We start from the raw sequence: 20,006 nt of genomic DNA on the forward strand, positions 1-20,006 counted from the left end.
TGGCCAGGCTGGTCTCAAACTCCTGACCTCAAGTGATCTGCCCGCCTCAGCCTCCTAAAGTGCTGGGATTACGGGCGTGAGCCAATGCACCTGGCCTCAGCTTGCCTAATTAAAAAAAAAAAAAAAAAAAAAGTTGTCTATCTGTGTGTATATTCATATCCCATTGGCATTTGTTATTGAAACTTCATTCAATTTAGATTAACTGATGAAGAATTGCCTTCCCCACCTCAAAAAAAAAGTCTTTCCAGCCACAAATAGAAGCAGTTTACCCACATGTTCAAATCCATTGCAACATCCTTCCATATTTTTTTAGATCTTTGTATGGATTTTGGACATTCTAAAATTCATTTCTGGGTATTTTTAGGAGGACTACTGATTTTTTTTTAATTTGGGCATTTTTTAAAATAAATTTTTATTTTGAGATAATTGTACATTTCTCATGCAGTTCTAAGAAACAACACAGAGAAATCTTACATACTCCTTTACCTAGTCTCCCCCGATAGTAACATCTTGCAAAACTGTAGTACAATATTCTGACCAGGATATTGCATTGATAGTCTCACTACAGGACATTTCTAACTCTTCAAGAATCCCTCATGTCCCCCTTTTATAGCTACCCCCAATTCCCTCCCACCCTACCCTGTCCTTAGCCCCTGACAACTACTAACCTATTCTTCATTTCTTTATCATTCCAAGAAAATTATATAAATGGAACCACATAGCAAATCACCTTTTTGGGATCGGCTCTTTTCACTCAGCACAATTCCCTGAAGATTCACCCAGGTTATTGTGTGTATCCTTGCATTTTGGTATGACCCAATTTGGGTTTGTATTTTTAAAGCTGATGGACACTATTTACTAGTGTTTTCAAGATTGCACTGACCATCATAGGTGAAATAGGTATGTGTTCTTTTATTATGAAAGCCTCCTCAGATGTGGACATTAGTGAAATGTGGGCTCCAAAAAGAGACTTTGGAAGATTTCACTAATGATGTGGTTATTTTTTAAATAGATGCCCCCCAAAAAAGCACCTATGAAAAAATTCTTACATAGCAATTCTACTTCTGAATGCTAAGAGGGTTTGGAAAAAGTCATTTTTGCAGTGTTTGTGTTCTATGAAGAGTGGGTAGAAGGAAGCAGGAGAGTATTCCTGCCTCCCCAGGAGAGAGCTTCACTTTCTCCCTATACCTTCCTGTCCTACCAGCCCACCTGGTTCTCTGTCTCTCTCCAACTGTGACCGTCTTTTCCTTGTAGCTCCCTGCTCACTCCATGTGGAGGATGGCTCTTGGGGCTGGGGTGACTAAAGGCAAAGAATGGGGATCCCTGTGACAGCTCTAGGGGATTTTGGGACCAGATAACCTTAATGGCCTCAGGCTCCCTAGATGAGAAATGGGACTTAGTAAAGTCAAACTGGTCCAGGTTAAGCCAGCCCATGATGCCTGGAAGGAACTTACCCTTTTCTAGAGTAACTTCCCTTTTCAGGAAGTTTCTAGCTTGCTTGCTCACTCGCTCTCCCCACCCCCACCCAACCTCCCCCAACCTATCTCTCCCTCTCTCAGGAGAAGGTGCTCCCTCACCCTTAAAGACCAGGCTGCCGTTGCTTCCCATGTGTCTGTTCCTCTATTCAGTATTGTGGGCACTGATCACACACCAGGGCACTGTGGGGGCCCTGGGACCTGGGAGGACCAGAATGGGTACAGTCCCTGCCTTCTCAGGTTATGGTCATATCATCCATGCTCCCCAAACATCAAGGTACTCCAAAGGAGGCCCAGCACTACCATCTAGGTGGGGAGAAAACACACCGGCCATAATGAACACACGTTTAGGCTGAAGAATAATCTTCAAATGATACTACTACTTACACTTCCTGTTTGCCAGGCAAATATAGACATCATTTCACTAATCCTCACAGCAGCTTTTAACACAAGAATATTATCACTCCTGTTTTATAGATAATCTCCTAAGGGTTGAGGGATTGAGTCTAGGGCCCAGGGTCACAAAGCTAGGGAGCCGTGGATCTGCAGGAGATGTCCCAGCTCATCAAATATTCTTTCAGTATTAAACATATCAAGCTCTCTCCTGACCTTCTCTCCCCTTCCCCAGGCCAGGACTGTCTTATCCTGTGGTTCTTAGCTGAAATGTCCCTTCCTCAGAGGAGCCAATTTCTAAAGCTTAAGACTGGGCTGTAAAAAATCACATACCTCCCCTCCCATTCTTAATGTGTAACTGTGTGTTTATTTGTGGTAAAGGGTTTACTGGCTGGCTCCTTCTATCACATTCAAGGAGCATGAGGGTATAGGCTGGCTGTTTCTATTCAGTGTTTTATCTTCAGTGCTTAATCCATATGGAGCCTGTCACGGACCCTCAGTGAATGTTTGACGAGTGAGTGAGTGAGTGAGTGAGTGAGTGAGTACTTGTGCCCAGGTCAAACCAGGTGCTAGGACCCTGGCAGGGGTTCCATAAGGCTATGCTGGGGTTCAGGCAACCCAAGGCTGGTCTGGAGAGTGTAAGGCTTGAGAGCTCTTCTTCAGGCTCAGTCATCCCTGCTTCCCCAGGGCTCATGTCCACATGCTATTGTCCATAGAAGCTGGGGTCCAAAGTTGACCAGAATATCTCTAGTCATAAAGAATCTCTTCCCCTTGAGCCCACTCATCTCTGTTGACATTCTAGAAATGCAGGGAAATCTGGGCACCATGAAATGCAGTGACTTGCAGTGATCCTCCTGGGGCCTTGTATAGAAGAGACCATCTCAGTTTTGTAGACCAGGAAACTGAGGCTTGGGGATAGCAGATGTTCCCAGACAGAAAATGGTGGCACCTGGAGAGGTGCTCAGGTCTGTGTGGAAGAAAGGACAGGAGTCCTTCTGCCACCCAGACTGTGCATTCAGACATCTCCCTTGTGCTGTGCAGCCTTAGTTCTGCCTCCTGAGAGAGGTGACCTTCTCCCACTTCTTACAGGCAAGGCTCTTGCTAGCCTGAGGACCAGGAGCCTTCAGATTTTCTTGTTCCCAGGATATATCGCACCAACTCAGGAGGGTGTGGGGATGGGCTAGCATTAGGAATGGGTATTAGCATCTGCATTAAAAGGCTCCCACTGACAGCTCATGCATTGTGATGGAACTAGAGGTGAGATACAGAGCAGGAGTCCATGGCACCTCCAGAACCTGTCAGCCTGAGTATGGGCAATGGCGTTTTAGTTTGCAAAACCAGACACATAGAGGCCAGGTTTCCCCCGCTCAACACTAGGCCACTGTGCCTGCCACTGCTGTCTGCAAATGCAGGTTCCTGGGGCTCTGGGTGGTTTGTCCAATGGCTAAGCTTTCCCCAGGAATGGGTAACTGGAAAAATGTAGGAATTACATATGATTCCATCAATGACAGTTTTCCTATTAAAACATAACTTGTTAAAGCATAGAGCTTAGTTCAGAGTAAACATTTCTAAAAAAGAGGTAGAAGCCCCTACCTACTGACTGGCATCACAAACACTGCCCTGAAATGCCAACTCATTTCAAATACTGCTCTAGACAACTGGGCCCTGCATCTGCTGCAAGGAACATCCCTTACTTTCCCATCTCAATACAACTGTGAAAAGCCTAGCCTGGGACTCAGGCCTTTCCTTACTCCCTCTGGTTACCTAGCTTTAGCTCTGAGGCAGCCCAGATGACATGGGCCTCTAAGGCTGGCTGCTCTTACTCTATACCCCAAAATCCCAGCCACTAGCTTGCAGAATGGCTTTGTTGGATTCCCCTCCCTGGCCCCACACTCACTGCTACATCTCTCTTCCAAATCATAAATGCAAAAGATGGCCAAAGGTGCATGCTCTGTGACACGTTTCATAGTCAGACAAAACCAGCTGACTGCTTTTACTTTTTTTTTTTTTTCATTTAGAAGAATTTCCTTGGCAACTCCGTCTCTCCTTAGTCAACATCAGCTAACTTCATCCTCCCCCTTTATCAAGACATTGTTTAGAGTAAATAATTCATTAACTGGTACAGCAATTTCAGAACCCTTTCACATAGATTCTTAAGGGGACCGTTTCCCTTGAAGAATGGGGTACACCAGAGGACTTAGGAAGAGAAGCGCCCACTGGGGCTTGGTCAGACTCTGCCAGGAGACAGGCAGCTGTCTGTTAACTGACCCTACCCAGTACCTTCTGGGATTGGATTAACAAAAGGGGAGTTGGTTAGGCTGGAGCATTGCAACTCATTTCTTCCCTGCAGTCTCTCTCCTGAGGTGGCCCAGGTATGTGTTTGAGGCCTGGGACTTGCTGCCAGCATGAGACAAGCTCCAGTGGGGTCCATCCCCCTGATTCCTCAGTGCCCCAGCACCACCTCTTTCATTTGAAAACGTGTTCTTTTGGCAAAAAGACTATGCTCCAGAACTTTCTGGCTGAGTTCTCCTTCTATTCCTCCTATTCCACTGTTAGGTGTTGGAAAAGCAATATATTTGATGCTTTCTCCATGTCCCATAAATGACTTTCTGGCAGAGGAGAGTGACTGTCCTTTGTCTGTGGCCCTGGATTTGAGGCTAAGCCTTCCTTGAAGAAGGAACAGGAAAGAAAGGCTTGTTGGATGTGCAGGGAGCTAGTGGCCAACTGAGCACTTGCTCAGGCGGAGGGGCCTGGAGAGAACCCAGGGTAGGTCTGCCTGGGAGAAAAGGGGTAAGGGAGGACTGCCTCCCAGCCTTCCCTCCCCACTGGTCTGGGCACATTCCAAGGCTTGAGGTCTCCTAGTCAAGGCCTCCTGTTATTGGCTTCCTCCAGGGAGTCTGCTGAGACAAAAGTTTTAGATTCTTTCACTACATCATAAGGTAGGTAAGTTTGTGTCCCTGATCCATGCAGCATGTTATCTTTGTACCTGGTAAGGAGTGAAATGGCTTCCAATTTTACGGACTGGTTGCTTTTCATTCATATCTTCTTGCCATCCCTGTCTCATGGGTGAGCACATTTCCTGGATTTAAAATGTATGGGACAGCCTGTGAGAATTACAGATTCCAGGGAAGGGGCCCTTTTGGCACGGGGGGTCTGATGGTCAGAGCTAATCAGGTGTGGAAGAAGCTGCCTGGAGAGGATCCCCATCTGCATGGAATGCCCCCTTCGTGGGGATGGCTGGCACAGCTCACACACGGAGGCACTACTTCAGTCCTCCCATTACCAAACTCCAGGGCACACGTGCCACTGTGTCTTGCCCACAAACATGCACACAGAGTATCGATCTGTCTGATGTTTCAGGGACCCAGCCATGTCATGGAGGGTACATGGGCAGGTACCATCTCTGCCTGGTACATGGGCAGGGGATAGATGTGTTTCCATGGGTCTCCTTCACATAGAATTGTCACCTGAACGAGAAGCCCTTATCCAGAAGCCCAGTGCAACTCCCATCTCACAGGCCACCAGCAAGTTGCTCACATCCAGACAGGAGACGCTAGTCCTACAGGTGCAGTGGGAGGATCTGCAGATGACTACAGCTCTTGGCCCTTCCATACAGCACATGACAGGAAGCTAGGAGGGTTGCAGCTGGCTGTTGCCATTCCACTCAGGGTTGAGGGGACAAGCCCACACAGGTACCAGAAGTTCAGGGGTCCCATGTGGACTTCAGGCCTTCGGTCTGGGACCCCAGGGAGGGTGCTCTGACAGTCCGCCGAAATGGCCAGCAGGCAGGCATCCTCCCAGGTGGCAGTGAGAAAGGGCCCTGCACAGTCAGCGTTCCTGAGAATGCGATTCCTACTAGAACGAGGCTGTTTCCCAGGCTGCCTCCTGCTTCACCCAGGACTCAGACCACAACTAGACTAGGGAAGAACTTGTTCTCCACGGATGAGCCTGACCAAGTTCTGGGCCCACTCTCCCATCCTCCTGCTGGGTCACACGGATGAGGCCTGTACACTCTGGGCCTCAGACTCCACACCAAGAAGAGTCAGGGGGGCTCACTCTAAGCCCCGCCAGCTCGCACCATCTGATGGGGCAGGGGCAGGGGAAGGACAGGGCCAGCATTGAGTAGGCCTGAGTTGATGGCAAAGTGTAGGCCTTTGCCCTGTCTCGCCCCCTTGCTTCTGGGGTTTGCTTCGCCTTTCTGAGAGCACAGCAATGCCTACTCATCCTGCCCAAAACCCTGCTCCAACCTAGCTGTGTGACCTTTAGGCCTTGGGATAGCACACAGCAAATGTCTGCCACCCCAGTACTGCCACTGGCTTGGGAGGCCAGACCACAGACCACACTAGTGTCACCTGGCCCGTCCCACCTGTTCCAAGCTGGGGGAGGAGTATGCTCACTTGGGCTTATCAGCAGAGCCAGGGTACCCCAACCCCTGACTAGGATATTGTGGATACCTATGCCCAGAGCCCCTCCACTGCCAAGTTTCCACAATTGTTTTGAAATAATTCCCAACAGATACCCCCACCCTCACCCAGTGTTGAGTCTCACTCCCGTCACGGAAATGACAGCTCCCAGCCCTGGGCAATGTGCTCCTGCAAGGACAGCTGTGGTGACTAGAATGGCAGCTTGGCTACTAGCACTTTTCACATGAGCGTGGCTGCCCTCAGGCCCAGGCTGCACAGAGCATGGCCGCTGGATCAAGTGTGGGTCCCAGTTGGATGACAAACCCATGTTCAAGGCTGGGAAGTCCTACTCGGCCCCACTTCTACCCAGGACCAGTAGCTTTCAATTGTAAATGTGCATCCCCTGTGATACACTATGATGCACAAGCAGCCCCTGCTCACCCCTAAAGAGCAGCACAAGTAACTCAGAGCCACTGTCCCCTCTGGCCAGAGGCCCTGGTTTGTGTCTGCCCAGTGACCAGCCTGAAGATAGAGGCAACCCAATCCAGGTCCATGCAGGTCTCCGTGATGCGGAGCATGCCCAGCTTACCATCCTGATGCAGAGGCAAGGACAACACTGGGCCCTGACTTGCTAAGATGGGAGCAAGAGCTTAGGGCTAAAACTCAGCAGTCCCAGCTCTGGGGGACAAGGACCCACAAAGTGATGCAAGATATCCTGAGTTGGGTGTGACAAGTACACCTTGACACACAAACTGCACAGGGAGGGGAGGAATCTGAGCCAGCTTCCTCCACAAAGCACAGAAGTCTGCCAAAAGCCCAGGCTGGATAGGGAGCATCACACTGTTGGGAAATGTGCAATTTTCACTCAGCCAGCATCACTACCAGCTCCGGGCTTCTCTCCTCTGGCCTCCCACCTTGCAGCTTTGAGATCCCAGGCCTCTCAGGGCTCTGGCTGAGGGCTGTGAGCCAGAGGCTGAGGTAGCCAGGTCTGCCTTGGGCTGTCACTCAGGGCTGAGCTCTGCTGAAGGATCTGGGAGGTCAGTAGGCACCTGTGTCCACCCAGCTGTCCATACAGATCCCTGCCTGCACAAGAGCTGCTGCAGCATTTCAATAGGGCCATCCCAGGCACCCTAGGACTTGAGACCAGCCTCCTCTGTATGGTCCCTTCCCTGGTGCACCTACCACAGCCCACTCTGATGACCCCCTGTCAAGGAGGTGTGACTGAGAAAGGAAGGGGCAGAGATCCCTTCTCCATTCCTCTCAGGCCCCTGTAAAAATTGGGACCTGTCCTTGCCAGCCAGGTCTCAGGGAGCTCAGGGTTCAGTGTTGGAATGGGTCTGGGCCCAGATTTCAAGCCAGTAACCAGCAAATCATGGGGAGACTGAGAAGAGGAGCCCCTTAGCAGGCCTAACCACACCCCTAAGCCACCCAGCCTGGCCCCCCTCCTCTGCCCCAACTGGCTCCAGGCCAAACTCTGGTTCCTGAGGAGCCTCAAAGGCTGGACTTGGGGTGTCCCGCGGAAATCCTGGTGGGATGGAAAATCCCCAGCAGTTGTGAGGCTGCACTTCTCCCACCCGCTGTGGGTCAGCCAGGCCGCTGCTTCCTGCTTCCCTTTGATGTCTCCTCGTGCGAGGGAGGGGTCAGCACCCCTCTAGGCTTGGGCAGGCACACACTCCACTCAGCTGCAGCCATGGAGTTGGTGCTTCTAGGGCCTGGGTATGCTGGAGTCAGGCAGGGGACCTGGTGGGGGTGGGGATACAGGCTGAGGTGGAGAGACCCCACGCAGCTCCCTAGGCCTCTGCAGACAGCTCCCAAGCAAGGGGGCAGGAGGGGCTGCACTGAGCCCACCAAAGGTTGTAGCCACTCATACAGGGCTGTTTGATCTGAGAGGGAGGCGCCATGACCTCTGTTTAGACAAGGAAAATGAAGACTCTGGAAAATCTAAGCACGTCACACACACAGCTTCCATGGGGGTCTTCCTCTCGTGTCTGGGGAACTTCCCCGTAGAGGTTTCAATAACTGCCATCCTTTGCTGATCCTCTGTGTAGGCACTGGGCCCCAGCCCCTGCCTGTGCCATCACTATTTCACAGGAGAACACCACACTGAGGCTCTGCCTCTGGTTGCCCTGCTCTGGGTGATGAGGTAGAGGTCACACAGCCAGGCCAGTGGCCCTAGTGTCAAGGTTCCACACCACAGCCTCATAGCAGCCAGTGCTCGCTCACTGAGGCCAGGCACTCATCTTGTGCTGTGCCTGGGTGAGCTCTGGACCTGCCTCCTAAACATAGGGCTGCCTGCTTCGTTCATTTCCACACACCACGTGCCTAGGCCCAGCTGGGGCTGGCATACAAATTGGGTGGCCCGGCTCTGAGCTGCTGCTGGTTACTGTGGCAGTTTCCACCTATACCACACCTATATACTTGCCCTCCCCCACACACAGCCCACCTGGCCCATCCCACAAAGAGAGATGGCACTCCAGGTGGAGAGGGCTGGGCCAGAGGTCATGCAGCAAGGTCAGGTTGGAAGCTGAGGTGGGGCTAGGGCCACCCCACACAGGCCTGTCTCACAGGCTGTCACCCACTGGGCCTAGGGCTCTGAGAGTAGGGGTCTGATCTGGAGAGCAGGGGAGCCTGCAGGTCCCTGGGTTGGAATCCTGGAGCCCTGGGCTGCAGGGTTTTGAGGGGCAGTTACCTCCTCCTCCCCGGTGGCACATCCGGCCTGGAAGTTGGGTAGTCTGGCCCAAGGCCTGCCCTGGTGTGAAAGCCTGAGACCCTAAGGAGAGCTACAGGTGGCTCAAGGGCCTGCTCCTCCTCCTTTTCTGTGCAAACAGCTCAGCTTGCTGACTTTGATGCAGTGGTTTAGGCCAAGCTTTGAAGTCAGCCCTTGGAGGACGTTCCTATCAGCCTTTGCACAGATATCTCCCACTCCAACCCTAAGACTCAATGCCACCTCAGGACTGCCCCTATCCGCAGAGCTTGAGGCCTTTAGGTCAGCCTTGGGAAGAGGTGCTTGAGTGGGGTGGAAGAAGCCCACTCTTGGGAAATGGGGAGCATAGGGGAGGAGGAAGACACTGCCTTGGAATGACACTCCCAGAGACCTCTGCTCTGCCTACCTGCATTCTGCTGAAGGTTTTGGGTCACCTTGTTTTATGGTCCCTGTCCCAGCATGAAGCTTGCACAGGAAGAACAGAATGAATGATGTGGAAATCTGTTAGCAGTGGTGTCTTCTAGATTCTCAAGGATCCGGGTATTTTAGGAACAAAACAAGCCAGCAGGTGCAGAGGTCACAAGCCTCCTGAGAGGGCCAGGGCAGAGTGAGTAGCTGCAGGGGCAGCTGTCCTTTGCACCTGGGCCTAGAGTGCCAGAGACTTAGTCTCATTTGTTTACAGGAGACTGATGGGTTCCTGAGCAGCCTAGGAGGGGAGGGGAAGCACTGCGTTCTCAGTGTGGTGCTTGGCCCTCCCAGGTGCCTGGTTGTGGCCTGCCACTTAGCACCCACCCCTGCCTATCCAGCCCCATCCCTGGGGAAGGTTCCCACCTGCTCCAACTTCTGGTACTCCCAGGCTGCCTCACCCAACGATGACAGTGACTAGCCTCAGAGCCTGGCTGCTTGGAAGACCTTTGCCCAAGCAGAGAACTGTTGAGGAAGGTGAGCCTTCCGAGGGCCAGCCCTGCCTCTCCTCCCCTCTCCTAGCCTGCTTCTGTCTGGGCTGAAGGCACAGCAGGGACAATCGCTCTTCCGGGGTTAGAACTGGGGGAGCAGGGACAAAAAGCGGGCAGCCCTCCCCAGCATGACAGGATGTGGAAGGCTGGTCTCTCCAGAGACTGGGCTAAACTCTGCTGTGTCAAGTGCCTGGTGACCTCAAGCAAGTCATTCCATGTGGCTGAGCTGCTCCTTGCTGCATCTGCACATATGTGTAGTGTCTTCCTCCCTGTAGGATTGTCACAAGGATTAAATGATGTCAAGTCTGAGGCTGCCCTGCAGCTGCTGTTTCCACTACTTGGCATGGAACATGTGCCAGACCAAAAGAGCTATCTCTCTCCCTGCGAAAGGCTGGGGTCCTGGGAGCTAGAGCTGGGTTAAGATAAGAGCAGAGACTGGGTCCTGGGAACAGCCACTGGGCCCAGTCGGGGGGGTCTCAGCACCTATCACAAAGAAAGTGCCACTGGGCCTAGGGAAGGACAAGAAGTAACATGTCAAAGATGGGACAGAACCCACCTCCTGGCAGGGAGTGGGGCACACATATGTGCATGTTCATATATGTGTCAGAATGCGTATTTGTCAGTGTATGTGTGTCAGTGCACATAGGTATAGGGGCTGTCTCTCAGAATTCCTGAGGGCTTTCCATTTGATCCCAGTGGTTGAAGATGGAGTATGATCCCAAATCCCTTAGGTGGATGTGGCCTGGCAGGGGGTCAGCAGGAGGGAGGTCCCTGTCTCCTTGGCTTCCAGCTTCCAGGCTCTGGCACTCCCACTGTTAGGAACAGGTACCTTTAGGGACACAGGAGTGTAAGCCACTGTTTCCGTCTGGGTTTTGTCATGTGTAGGTCCCAGCGGCTTTAAGCCAACCTGAAAGGTTCATTTGGGAGTCACGGGTATGTGTCAACAAAAGCCCACCAGACCATCAATGAAGTGGGCAAAAGCTCTGGGTGAACTCTTGGCTCAGGTATCAGGATATGCTGGGTGAGGGAAATAATGGAGGCACCTTTGTTCTAGATGCCTGCAGATTCCTGACAACAGTAGGGGTGGAGGCTGTGCAGACCTGGTGCAGAGTCTGTGCTGGCCTCTGGCCTCTCACAGCCTTGGGAGGGGTGCTCAGAGCTCAGCTGTGTTTAAAAATTAGCAAGTGGAGGAGTTAGAGGATCTGCAGTTAACCCCTTGAGTCTCGGAAGGCTGTTTGAGCCACTAATCAGGAAGGAGAGCTGACAAGAAAAAGGCGATGTCTCACCCCTGAGCTACAATCCACTGCACTTACAGTGACCACCCATCCTGACATCTTGGGCTCAGGCCTCTGGGTCTGGGCATAGAAGCCCAGGAACTGCTGTCTGTGGGGAGTCCACTGAAGCTCCCTGCCCCCACTGAGTCTCTGATGTTGACAGCCTCTTTGTTTTTTCATCTCAGCCTATTCAAGGCCATTTTTCAGCTTGCTTGGCTTTGCATTAAAGTTGGGGGGATTTCTCTATCCTGAGGTTATGAAATACCTCAGCAAGGACGAGGCCTCCCTGAGGGAGTCAACCTAGCTTGTTCCCTGCACGTACTGTGGGGAGGTCCTCTTTACCGCCACAGTTCCAAGGGTGAAACAGAGAACCAGGTGGGGAAGGGGTCTCTCCCCATCTGTCCAGGGGAGAGGCAGCCCACAGGGAGCCACACAGGCAGGGGACATTCCACTAGGGCCATTTGCAGGCCAGTGGCCATCCACTGCCAGCAATCAGAGAATCACAAGCACTGGATCCAATGTGACCTCTGCCAGGACCATGACCCCTAGGTCCTCTTTTCCATCCCTCCAGTTCTCCTGGCTTTCTTGCCATCTTTCTGGCTCTATCCTCAGTCTCCTTGGCAGGTTTTCCCTTCTGGCATGGCCACTAAATGCCAGTGCCTTTCTCTATGCAAACCATTTCCCTAAGCTGTTCCCTCAGCACCAAGGGCTTCCAGACCACCTGTGAGGCCCTGACCCCCCAAATGTCTCTCCAACCCAGCCAGACCCACATTCCAGTCACCTGCCCCCACCTCCTCTCCACAGCCTCCATCATTTTATAGCCCACTCTACTGAAGGCCCCTGTCCTTTCAGTGTCACCCATCCTTTCAGTGGCACAAGTCAGAAGTTCTGGGGTCATTTCCGATACACCCGCTTCCTCACCACCTGCCCATCACCTCAAGCCCATCACCAAGCCAGGCTTACTTCACCCATCCATAGTTCTAGAGGTTCCCTGCTTCCCTCCATCCCTATTGCCACTGTCCTGATAGGCCACCATTTCTCTGTACTGCAGGCATCTCCTAACTGGCATTCTCACATCCCCTGCCCCATTCCAATCAATTATCTACTCAGTGGACAGACATCCTTTCAAAGTTTAGAGACCTGTGGGTCTTGCTTAATCCTGCAGCTGCCTTTCTGGTAGTTCAGATGCTTGGCTTCTTTCCATCCCAGGTGCTCACAGGCTCCCTACCACCAGAGGGCCCTTGGCCTGCCCCTGCCACTTTCCCCAAGGGAGTTTTTCAGACCCCAGGCTAGTTCCAGTGGGTTCCTGCTATACACCTGCTGTGCTCCCAGGCCTCAGCACTCCCCTCAGGGTGCAAACGGTCCTTCAACATTAGTTAGTCTTTCTCCCCTTTGTCCACTAACCCTGGGAGGGTAGGCAGGTCCCTGCTCCTATCAAATCCCTCCCTCTGGGCCAGGGTCTAGTACCTGCTGAGTGTTTGACAAATATTTCTTGAATGACTGCATCCCTAACATGAGGCAATGATCATTCCCCTGCCTGTTAGACATAATTCACTGCCTGGGAAGGCACTGTGCTGTGTAGATGCAGCAAGCTGGCTAAAATCAACTGTAGCATGGCCTATGTCCCAAGCAGGTTGTCCTGCCCATACGCTCAATAATGAGGCCCACTGAACTCTCCTGGTTTCCAGAAGCCTCATAAGCAAGCACGCTCAGTGAAGGAACAGGAAGTCCTTTCTGGAGCAGGGGGAGAGAAAGGCATCCAGTTAGCCATAGAGGGGAATGGCTCCTTACTCTTTAAGAGTCATTTGCCCCAAGACTACTTTCTGTCAATCACCAGATAGCCCTCAGTCTACACTCTGTGATCCACTCATGAATATCTGGTCTGGCTCTGCGTTCCAGTCAGACCCTTTTCTGAGAGGACCACAAGTCATAGCCCAGGGCTACCTGTACAGCTACCAGGCTTAACAACTCAGATGCACACCCTCCACAACTGCTCTTAGCACCCACAGGCCTGGGCCCTCTCTCCCTGCCCTGAAGCCAACCAGACCCTGGGTGGGGGCCGAGTCTGGCCAAGCAGCAGTGTGTGGAGCTGGGCCTGGGCCTAAGCTGGGAATAAGCTTGTTTTGCCAGGCGCTGGCCCCCCATCGAGTCCCCATTCTCTAATGCTAATTGCTACAATTAGCAGGAGAAAGGCCTTTTAGATCCATTTCTTCTCCTGGCTGAGGCCCGGGCTGCTAGGGAGGTTGAGCCCAAGGCTTTTCGGAGGAGCAGGGATTCTTCCATAAATGAGGCCACATTTAAATTGCAAACAAGAGCTTCGCCCAGCCGTAGGAAAGGCTCTGGGAGAAAGGCTTTTAGTTCCGCAGACAGAGCAGCCAGAGACTGGGTGCGCTCCAGCCTCATGGGCCTTCCTGGCTGGTGTGACTGGAACCCTGGGTTATACAGGCTCCTGCCAGTAACCTGGACATGCTGGGGCCGGCCAGTTCAGAGGAGCATGGCACAGGCTGATAAAGGCACCGGAAGGAAAGGCAGTATTAGAGGCCACCCCTTGCCCTCCCATCCAGGCCTGCTCTGAGGGAAACCCTACTCGTCCTCCTCCTGGAGTGTACTGCAAACCTGGATCCGGTATCCGCTGAGAACCACTCATTCATCAGTCTGCACTAACTGGAGAAGGTGAGCAGGCCCAGCCCGGCCTCTCTAGGCCACCTCCAACTTGGTCAAGCCACAGGTGCCCATGCCATAGATGGCTGAGGGACGGCAGCTGACACGTAGTTCCAACTAAACCTCTGGGTGGCAGCCCATAGGTTGTGGGACTGGAAGTGCTTGCCAAACAAATTATACTGCTGACCAGGGAAGAGGGTACTCTGATTGGCCAGGCCTGGGCCAGGGTCTTTCTCACCGAGGTGGTGAGGCTATAGGTGTTAGATGTGGCAGGATGCAAGCCAGGGCCTGCTGCCTTTAAAGAGCCACAGCAGAGACACCATCCCAGTCCCAAGAGCTGTTCTAAGGAAGTGGTTGTCATCTGCGGTGCCCCCCAGGGGACATATGGCAATGTCTGGAGATATTTTTGGCTATCATGACTATGGGAGAATTACTAATATCAACTAGGTAGAGACCAGGCAGGGTGCTAAACATCTTACAATATAAATGACAGCCCCTCACAACAAAGATACATCCTGTCCCAAGCATTACCAGTGTGGCTGGCTAAGAAACCCTGGTTGCAAGGGGTCAGATTTTGACATGCTATTTGCTTTCTCACTGAGTTGTGAAAATGGAGGCACACTTTCCTGGCCTGGCCTCTTCCTTCGTTCAATAAATGAATGAAACCATTCAACAGAAATCTGTGACACACCCACCATGTGCGGACCCTATACGGAAGACAGATATGCTCTCTTGGGGCCTCTCTTCCGGTGGAAGAGATAGGCAGCCAACAAATAAGTAGATGTCTAAGGAACTAGAAAAGCGTAGCCTGTGCTTTGCAGAGACTCGAAAGGTAGTCGTCAGCTAGTGAGTGACTGAAGGGGATGACAGATATGGCAGGTCAGAGCAAAATTTCCTGTGAGATTTAAATAAGAAGAAGGAATTGTCAAGGGAAGATCACCAGAAAAGACAAGCCAGGCAGAGGTGGTGAAGGCCTTGGGGCAGGAGGGATACTTGGCAGATTTAACAAAGAAGAAGAAGGCTGGCAGAGCCAAAGCTCAGTGAGGGAGGACAGTGGTCAGAGAGGTAAGCAGGGCAGATCTTGTAAAAACCTGATGGAATTTGAATTTTATTTCCTAGAAATAGAAGCCACTAGAGGGTATCTGGCAGGAGAGTCATGGAGGCACATTCATTCGTTGGTTCTTGGCTTTTGGGACTCTGCACAGAGTTGATCACAGCCCTCAGCCTATGAAACACTGTCACCCTGTAAGGGTCTGCATAAAGTCACCGCTCTCTTCCTCTCCATGCTTTTCCACTTCATCTCTAGCCTCTATCCTTGCTCTCCTCCCTACACAAACAGCTTCTCCAGGGTAATTTATTTATATCATTGTGTGTGTGTGTGTGCACTCACGAGCACTCCCTAGTACTGCGTGTCTGGGTGGTGTGTAATTTTAATTTAAATACACAGTCATGTACTGAGGCCCTCTTTCTGTTTGGCATTTGTGTCACTCAGCACTGTGTTTCCACGCGTCTCTATCTTGTGAAGTGTACATCTAGTCCCCTGCTCCTAACCACAGTGACCAGCTCCAACTGCCCACCCCTATGGGCCATGCTGCCCTGAGCATGCACACACACAGCCTCTCGTTGTTCTGGGTGAGAACTGCTCCAGCATGTTTACTTAGGAGGGAAACTGCTGGGCCACAGGTATAAAATATTTTATTTGAGGAAGAAGTGTTGGCCAGCTCTTCAGAACGTCTGTGCCTGTCTCCGTCCCCACCTGCAGCACACAGGGAGGCTTGTTCCTTGCCTTCTGCCAACACTTGGCCTTATCCTACTTTCTAATGCTTCTCCTATGAAGAATAGCTGTTGCTTTCATTTACATTTCTCTGATAACTGATTAGCTTGGGCAAATTTTCATCTGTTTGTTAACCCTCCTGCAAACTGGCAATCTTCCTACCTTTTTCTTAATGATTTGTGGTGCTTTCTGGTATATTTTAGCTGTTGTTCCCTCCTCAGCTTTAATTGTTTCAAATATCTTGTAATGAGTCATGGCAAAGTTACATTCATGAGTGTAAAAGTGAAAAACGCAAATTGTTTCCTTAGTATTATTATGAAAACAGTCTTGACCCTTGCCATGATGGATTTATTTAACAGAAATCCTTAATCCATAATCATTAATGCATTCAAGTTCATACATTTTAGTCTTGAGGTTTGTGCTTTCTGGATCCTGTTTAAGAACCCCACGGCCACCCTGGCCCTGGAGATTATTCATTTTTTCTCCTATTAAACAAATGGCAACTACCTTTTGCTTTCAAATATTTAGTCCATTTGGAGTCTACTTTTCCTAGGGGCTCAGTTAGGAATCCATATTCCTATTCCTCCATTTTAGGGCTGGCTTTCCAACATCATCTTCTGAACAGTCCCCACTGATATGTGGTGCCACCTTTATCACATGTCCCCTTCCTCTAGACTTGGAGTTACCTCTGAGCTCTCTTCTGGGCCTCTGTCACCACACCGCTCTGATTGCTGAAGTTGGCGTGTGCCCTGGTATCTGCCAGCAGAAGTCCTCTGCTCTCCTTTTCAAAAGTTCAGTTGGCATTTACAAATATTTTTCTTCCACATACATTTTAGAATATGTTTGTTAAATTACTCAAGCCCTCCAACTGGAAGTTTGAGTGGAGTCCTGTTGAACTTAACAGATTTGGAAAATCCTGACGTCATTCTAATGCCAAGTTGCCCTGTTCAAGAAAATAAAATGTCTCTGCATATGGAAAGATCTCCCTCTATATCCTCCAATAGAGTTTTAAAATTTTTTCCATAAAAGTCGTCGTCTTTGTTAATTCCTAGACTGGTATAAATTTTGCTGCTATTCTGATTGCTGTCCTAATCTCTATTATGCTTTTTTTTAGTCAGTTGCTATTGGCATAAAGAAATGTGGTTTGTTTTTGTTTTTTGTTTTGAGTACACTGATCTTATATCCAAAACCTCTCTGAAATCTGAAATCTCTCTTTAGTTGTTAAGTTCCTTAATTTTTTTTTTCCATGTAGCCCAGTAATTTTCAAAGTGTAGTCTGGGGATTCCAGAGAGCCCCCCAGACCCTTTCAGGAAAGGTCAAAAACATTTTCATAATAATACTCGACATTATTTGCCTTTTCTTTCATTCTCACAAAGATAAAGAGTTTTCCAGAGGCAGCACACCATGACCCCAGTGGAATATGTGCTTGTATAGTTCTGCTTTAAACATTTCTTAGTTTTAACTTCTAAGATGGTAACTATCAACAGATAGAATCTCTATCAAGAAAAGCCCTTTGGGGGTTTCAATAACTTTTAAGAATACAACAAGTCGTAACACCAAAATGTTTGAGAATCTTTATGGAGACCATCAACCCTATGAGCTACACTAAGTTTTATCACTTCCTACCTGATCCTCACATCCCCATTTCTTTTTCTTGTATTAGGGTATGGCCAGGATGACATCCTTGGCCTACTCCTTATCTTAAAGAGAATGATACACTTTTAATTTCTCTATCAAGTTTACTGAAAAGTTAAGTTTTGGTTTATAACTTGTATCAAGTTGAAGAAGTTCCTCTCTAGTCCTGGCTTGCTAAGTGGTGTACTCCACTACCCCAAAATCACACATAGGCGTTAAACTTTATCACATCATTTTTTTCTGCCTCTATTGAGGGAACCATATGGTTTTTCTCCTGTAGCCTCTTAATGTGAATTACATGGATAAAGTTTCTGATATTGGATCATCTTTGCATTCCTAAGAGCAATCCCACTTGTTTAAGAATTGTTGTTTAATACATATTATTGGATTCAGTTAGCTAGCATTGTACAAGGAACTTCTGCATCTACATTCATAAGGGAAATTCTTTATAGTTTTCTTGTGCTTTCTATCTGAATTTGGACATGCTCTGATTCGCAATTTTAAAAAATCCCTCTAGCTGGAGCATAAATCCTGAAACAGACCCACTTTTCTCCTCAGCATGTTAGGAAACACATTAAAATACACCCATAATCAAGCAACTCAATCCTTAAATTTTTCTCCTACTGAGTATCTGGAAAACAGGTGCAGAAATGGATCATTTGAGACACCATAGAAATCTGGTTAATCCTGCCTGCCTGCTTTCCTTCAAGTACTGACTGAGTAAGGCTGTGTATCAGGCTCTTGGCTGGGTACAGAGCAGGCAGCAGAAAACAAAACAGAGTTCCTCGTTGGGAGCTTTTGGTCTAGCAAAAGGGGCACCACAGTAAAGAAAGAACTGGTAAATGCACATCAAATGTGGATATTATCAGGAAAGTTTTTATACTTTGTGATAATCTAAGACAGAACTATTCTACCTGGATGAATTATTCTCTTTCATAACCAGAACAGTGCTGTGGGAAGGCACTCTTACTCTCAATTTTATATAAAAGGCTATTTGACCTGCTCAGGGACCACAGTGGGGTACTGGGATCTGAACATAGTGGTGGCCCTTCAAGCCTACTACCCAGACTGAGACCTGCATCTGATCAACTCTCATCTCCAATATGACCAAGAGACTTCTACCACTACCTCTCACCTGGCAGGTGATCACCACCCCCAACTCAGACTGCAACCTTTACTTCGCCCCCTAATTCCTGACTCAGAATCCCCACCTAGAGGCAGAACTTCGACTTCAATTCCTGACTCCCATACCCCACTGAGACCTCTAACCCCAATCCCAATCTCTTAACTCAGAGCCCCCCATTCAGAACCTCTACCCAAAGACAGACTCCAGACCCTGACTCCAGTCGCCAACTCGGACCTCCCTTGGATCTCAACTCAGAGCCATGATGCAGACTCCAGACCGGGATTCAGGTCCCCAACTCAGACTCCCGATCCTCTGTCCCTAATGAGGCCCTACCTAAAACCACCATGCGGACTCCAGACCCGGACTGACTGGGACCCCAACTACTCAGATCCCAACTCAGGCAAACTCCCAGCCAGGATGTGGACCCTAGACCCGAATTCTGATCCCAACTAGGATACCTAACTCAGAACCACAACGGGGATTCCCACCTCCGATCCTAATTCGGGCCCTGACTCAGAACCACTAAGTGGATTTCCGACTCCGGTCCCAATTCGGGCTTTGACTCAAAACCACAACATGGATTCCCAACTTCCATCCCAATAGCGCGGACTCAGAACCACGATGCGGATTCCAGACTCCAATCCCAATTCAGCCCACTCTGAACCACCATGAGAACTATAGACCCGGAATCCGATCCTTGGGACGCGGCCAGGAACTCGGACCTCGACCCTGGCCACGCTGTCCATAAGGTGCAGATGGGAGCGCACTGCCCAGGCCAGGCTGCACTGCTGACGCCTGTGATCTGGGACGGCCGCGGGGCACACAGCTCACCTCAGCAACGCCAGTGATCACCCGTCCCGCGCCGTCCGCCCAGGTCCGTGCTGACCGTGTTCAAACCCTCCCAGAGAGATGGGGAGGGCCGCGCTGAGGAGAGTCTGGGAGAACCGCACTGAGGAGCCGCCGGGAGAGTGCCGCGCTGAGGAGCCCCCGGGGAGAGTGCCGCGCTGAGGAGCCCCCAGGAGAGTGCCGCGCTGAGGAGGCCCAGGGAGGACCGCGCGGAGGAGAACCATGCTGAGGAGCCCCCGGGGAGAACAGAACCGCGGCGAGAGGCCCCCGGAGAGAACCGCGCCGAAGAACCCCCGGGGACAACCGCGCCGAAGAACCCCCGGGGAGAACCGCGCCGAAAAGCCCCGGGTGCCCCGAGGAGAACGGCGCCGAGGAGTCCCCGGGGAGAACTGCGCCGAGGAGCCCCCAGAAGAGCGCCGCGCTGAGGAGCCCCGAGGAGAACCGCGCCGAGGGGCGCGCCGGGGAGAACCACGATGACTGACGCACCGAGGAGGACCGCGCTGAGGGGCGCACCGGGAGAATCGTGCTGAGGAGCCCCGGGGAGGACCACGCTGAGAGGCACCCCGGCAGAATCGCGCTGAGGGGCGCCCTGGCAGGATCTTGCTGAGGAGCTCCCTGGAGGTCCGTGCTGAGGCGACGCGGCGACCGTTCTGCCTGGAGACTGCGGCAGCGCTCCGACTGCCCCCGCCGCTGCCGACGTGGCGACCGCCCCCCACCTGCTGATTGGGCGGCAGCAGGGGAAGGCTTGCGGCGGGCTGC

The 20,006-nt window shown here is 51.0% G+C and overlaps 1 protein-coding gene and 1 long non-coding RNA gene across 6 annotated transcripts in view, besides 5 other annotated features; one reads left to right on the top strand and one right to left on the bottom strand.

The window, feature by feature from the left end:
• KCNQ1OT1 (KCNQ1 opposite strand/antisense transcript 1) overlaps positions 1-19,899 on the bottom strand; it is a 91,667-nt gene extending 71,768 nt beyond the window's left edge. The window contains exon 1 of the long non-coding RNA NR_002728.4: positions 1-19,899. This exon is cut by the window's left edge and continues 71,768 nt beyond it. This is a non-coding gene — a long non-coding RNA (KCNQ1 opposite strand/antisense transcript 1).
• The window catches only part of KCNQ1 (potassium voltage-gated channel subfamily Q member 1), a 404,098-nt gene that overhangs the window by 235,088 nt on the left and 149,004 nt on the right, over positions 1-20,006 (top strand). The gene's annotated exons all lie outside the window — the stretch shown is intronic.
• Positions 5,333-6,295: an enhancer, noted in NCBI's record as "H3K4me1 hESC enhancer chr11:2706658-2707620 (GRCh37/hg19 assembly coordinates)". NCBI's record gives its function as "activates a minimal SCP1, AML or CMV promoter by ChIP-STARR-seq in naive H9 embryonic stem cells {active_cell/tissue: H9 hESC(naive)}" and the evidence as "EXISTENCE:reporter gene assay evidence [ECO:0000049][PMID:30033119]".
• Positions 5,333-6,323: a biological region, named in NCBI's record as "H3K4me1 hESC enhancer GRCh37_chr11:2706658-2707620".
• Positions 6,154-6,323: an enhancer, noted in NCBI's record as "experimental_21071 CRE fragment used in MPRA reporter constructs". NCBI's record gives its function as "activates a minimal promoter by MPRAs in K562 erythroleukemia cells, with activity observed for both the introgressed and non-introgressed 11:2707564 variant alleles {active_cell/tissue: K562}" and the evidence as "EXISTENCE:reporter gene assay evidence [ECO:0000049][PMID:34662402]".
• Positions 8,220-9,180: an enhancer, noted in NCBI's record as "H3K4me1 hESC enhancer chr11:2709545-2710505 (GRCh37/hg19 assembly coordinates)". NCBI's record gives its function as "activates a minimal SCP1, AML or CMV promoter by ChIP-STARR-seq in naive H9 embryonic stem cells {active_cell/tissue: H9 hESC(naive)}" and the evidence as "EXISTENCE:reporter gene assay evidence [ECO:0000049][PMID:30033119]".
• Positions 12,776-13,643: an enhancer, noted in NCBI's record as "OCT4-NANOG-H3K27ac-H3K4me1 hESC enhancer chr11:2714101-2714968 (GRCh37/hg19 assembly coordinates)". NCBI's record gives its function as "activates a minimal SCP1, AML or CMV promoter by ChIP-STARR-seq in naive H9 embryonic stem cells {active_cell/tissue: H9 hESC(naive)}" and the evidence as "EXISTENCE:reporter gene assay evidence [ECO:0000049][PMID:30033119]".

The sequence above is a fragment of the Homo sapiens genome, chromosome 11 (genome assembly GCF_000001405.40).
Source record: "Homo sapiens chromosome 11, GRCh38.p14 Primary Assembly".
NCBI classification, from domain to species: Eukaryota; Metazoa; Chordata; class Mammalia; order Primates; family Hominidae; genus Homo; species Homo sapiens.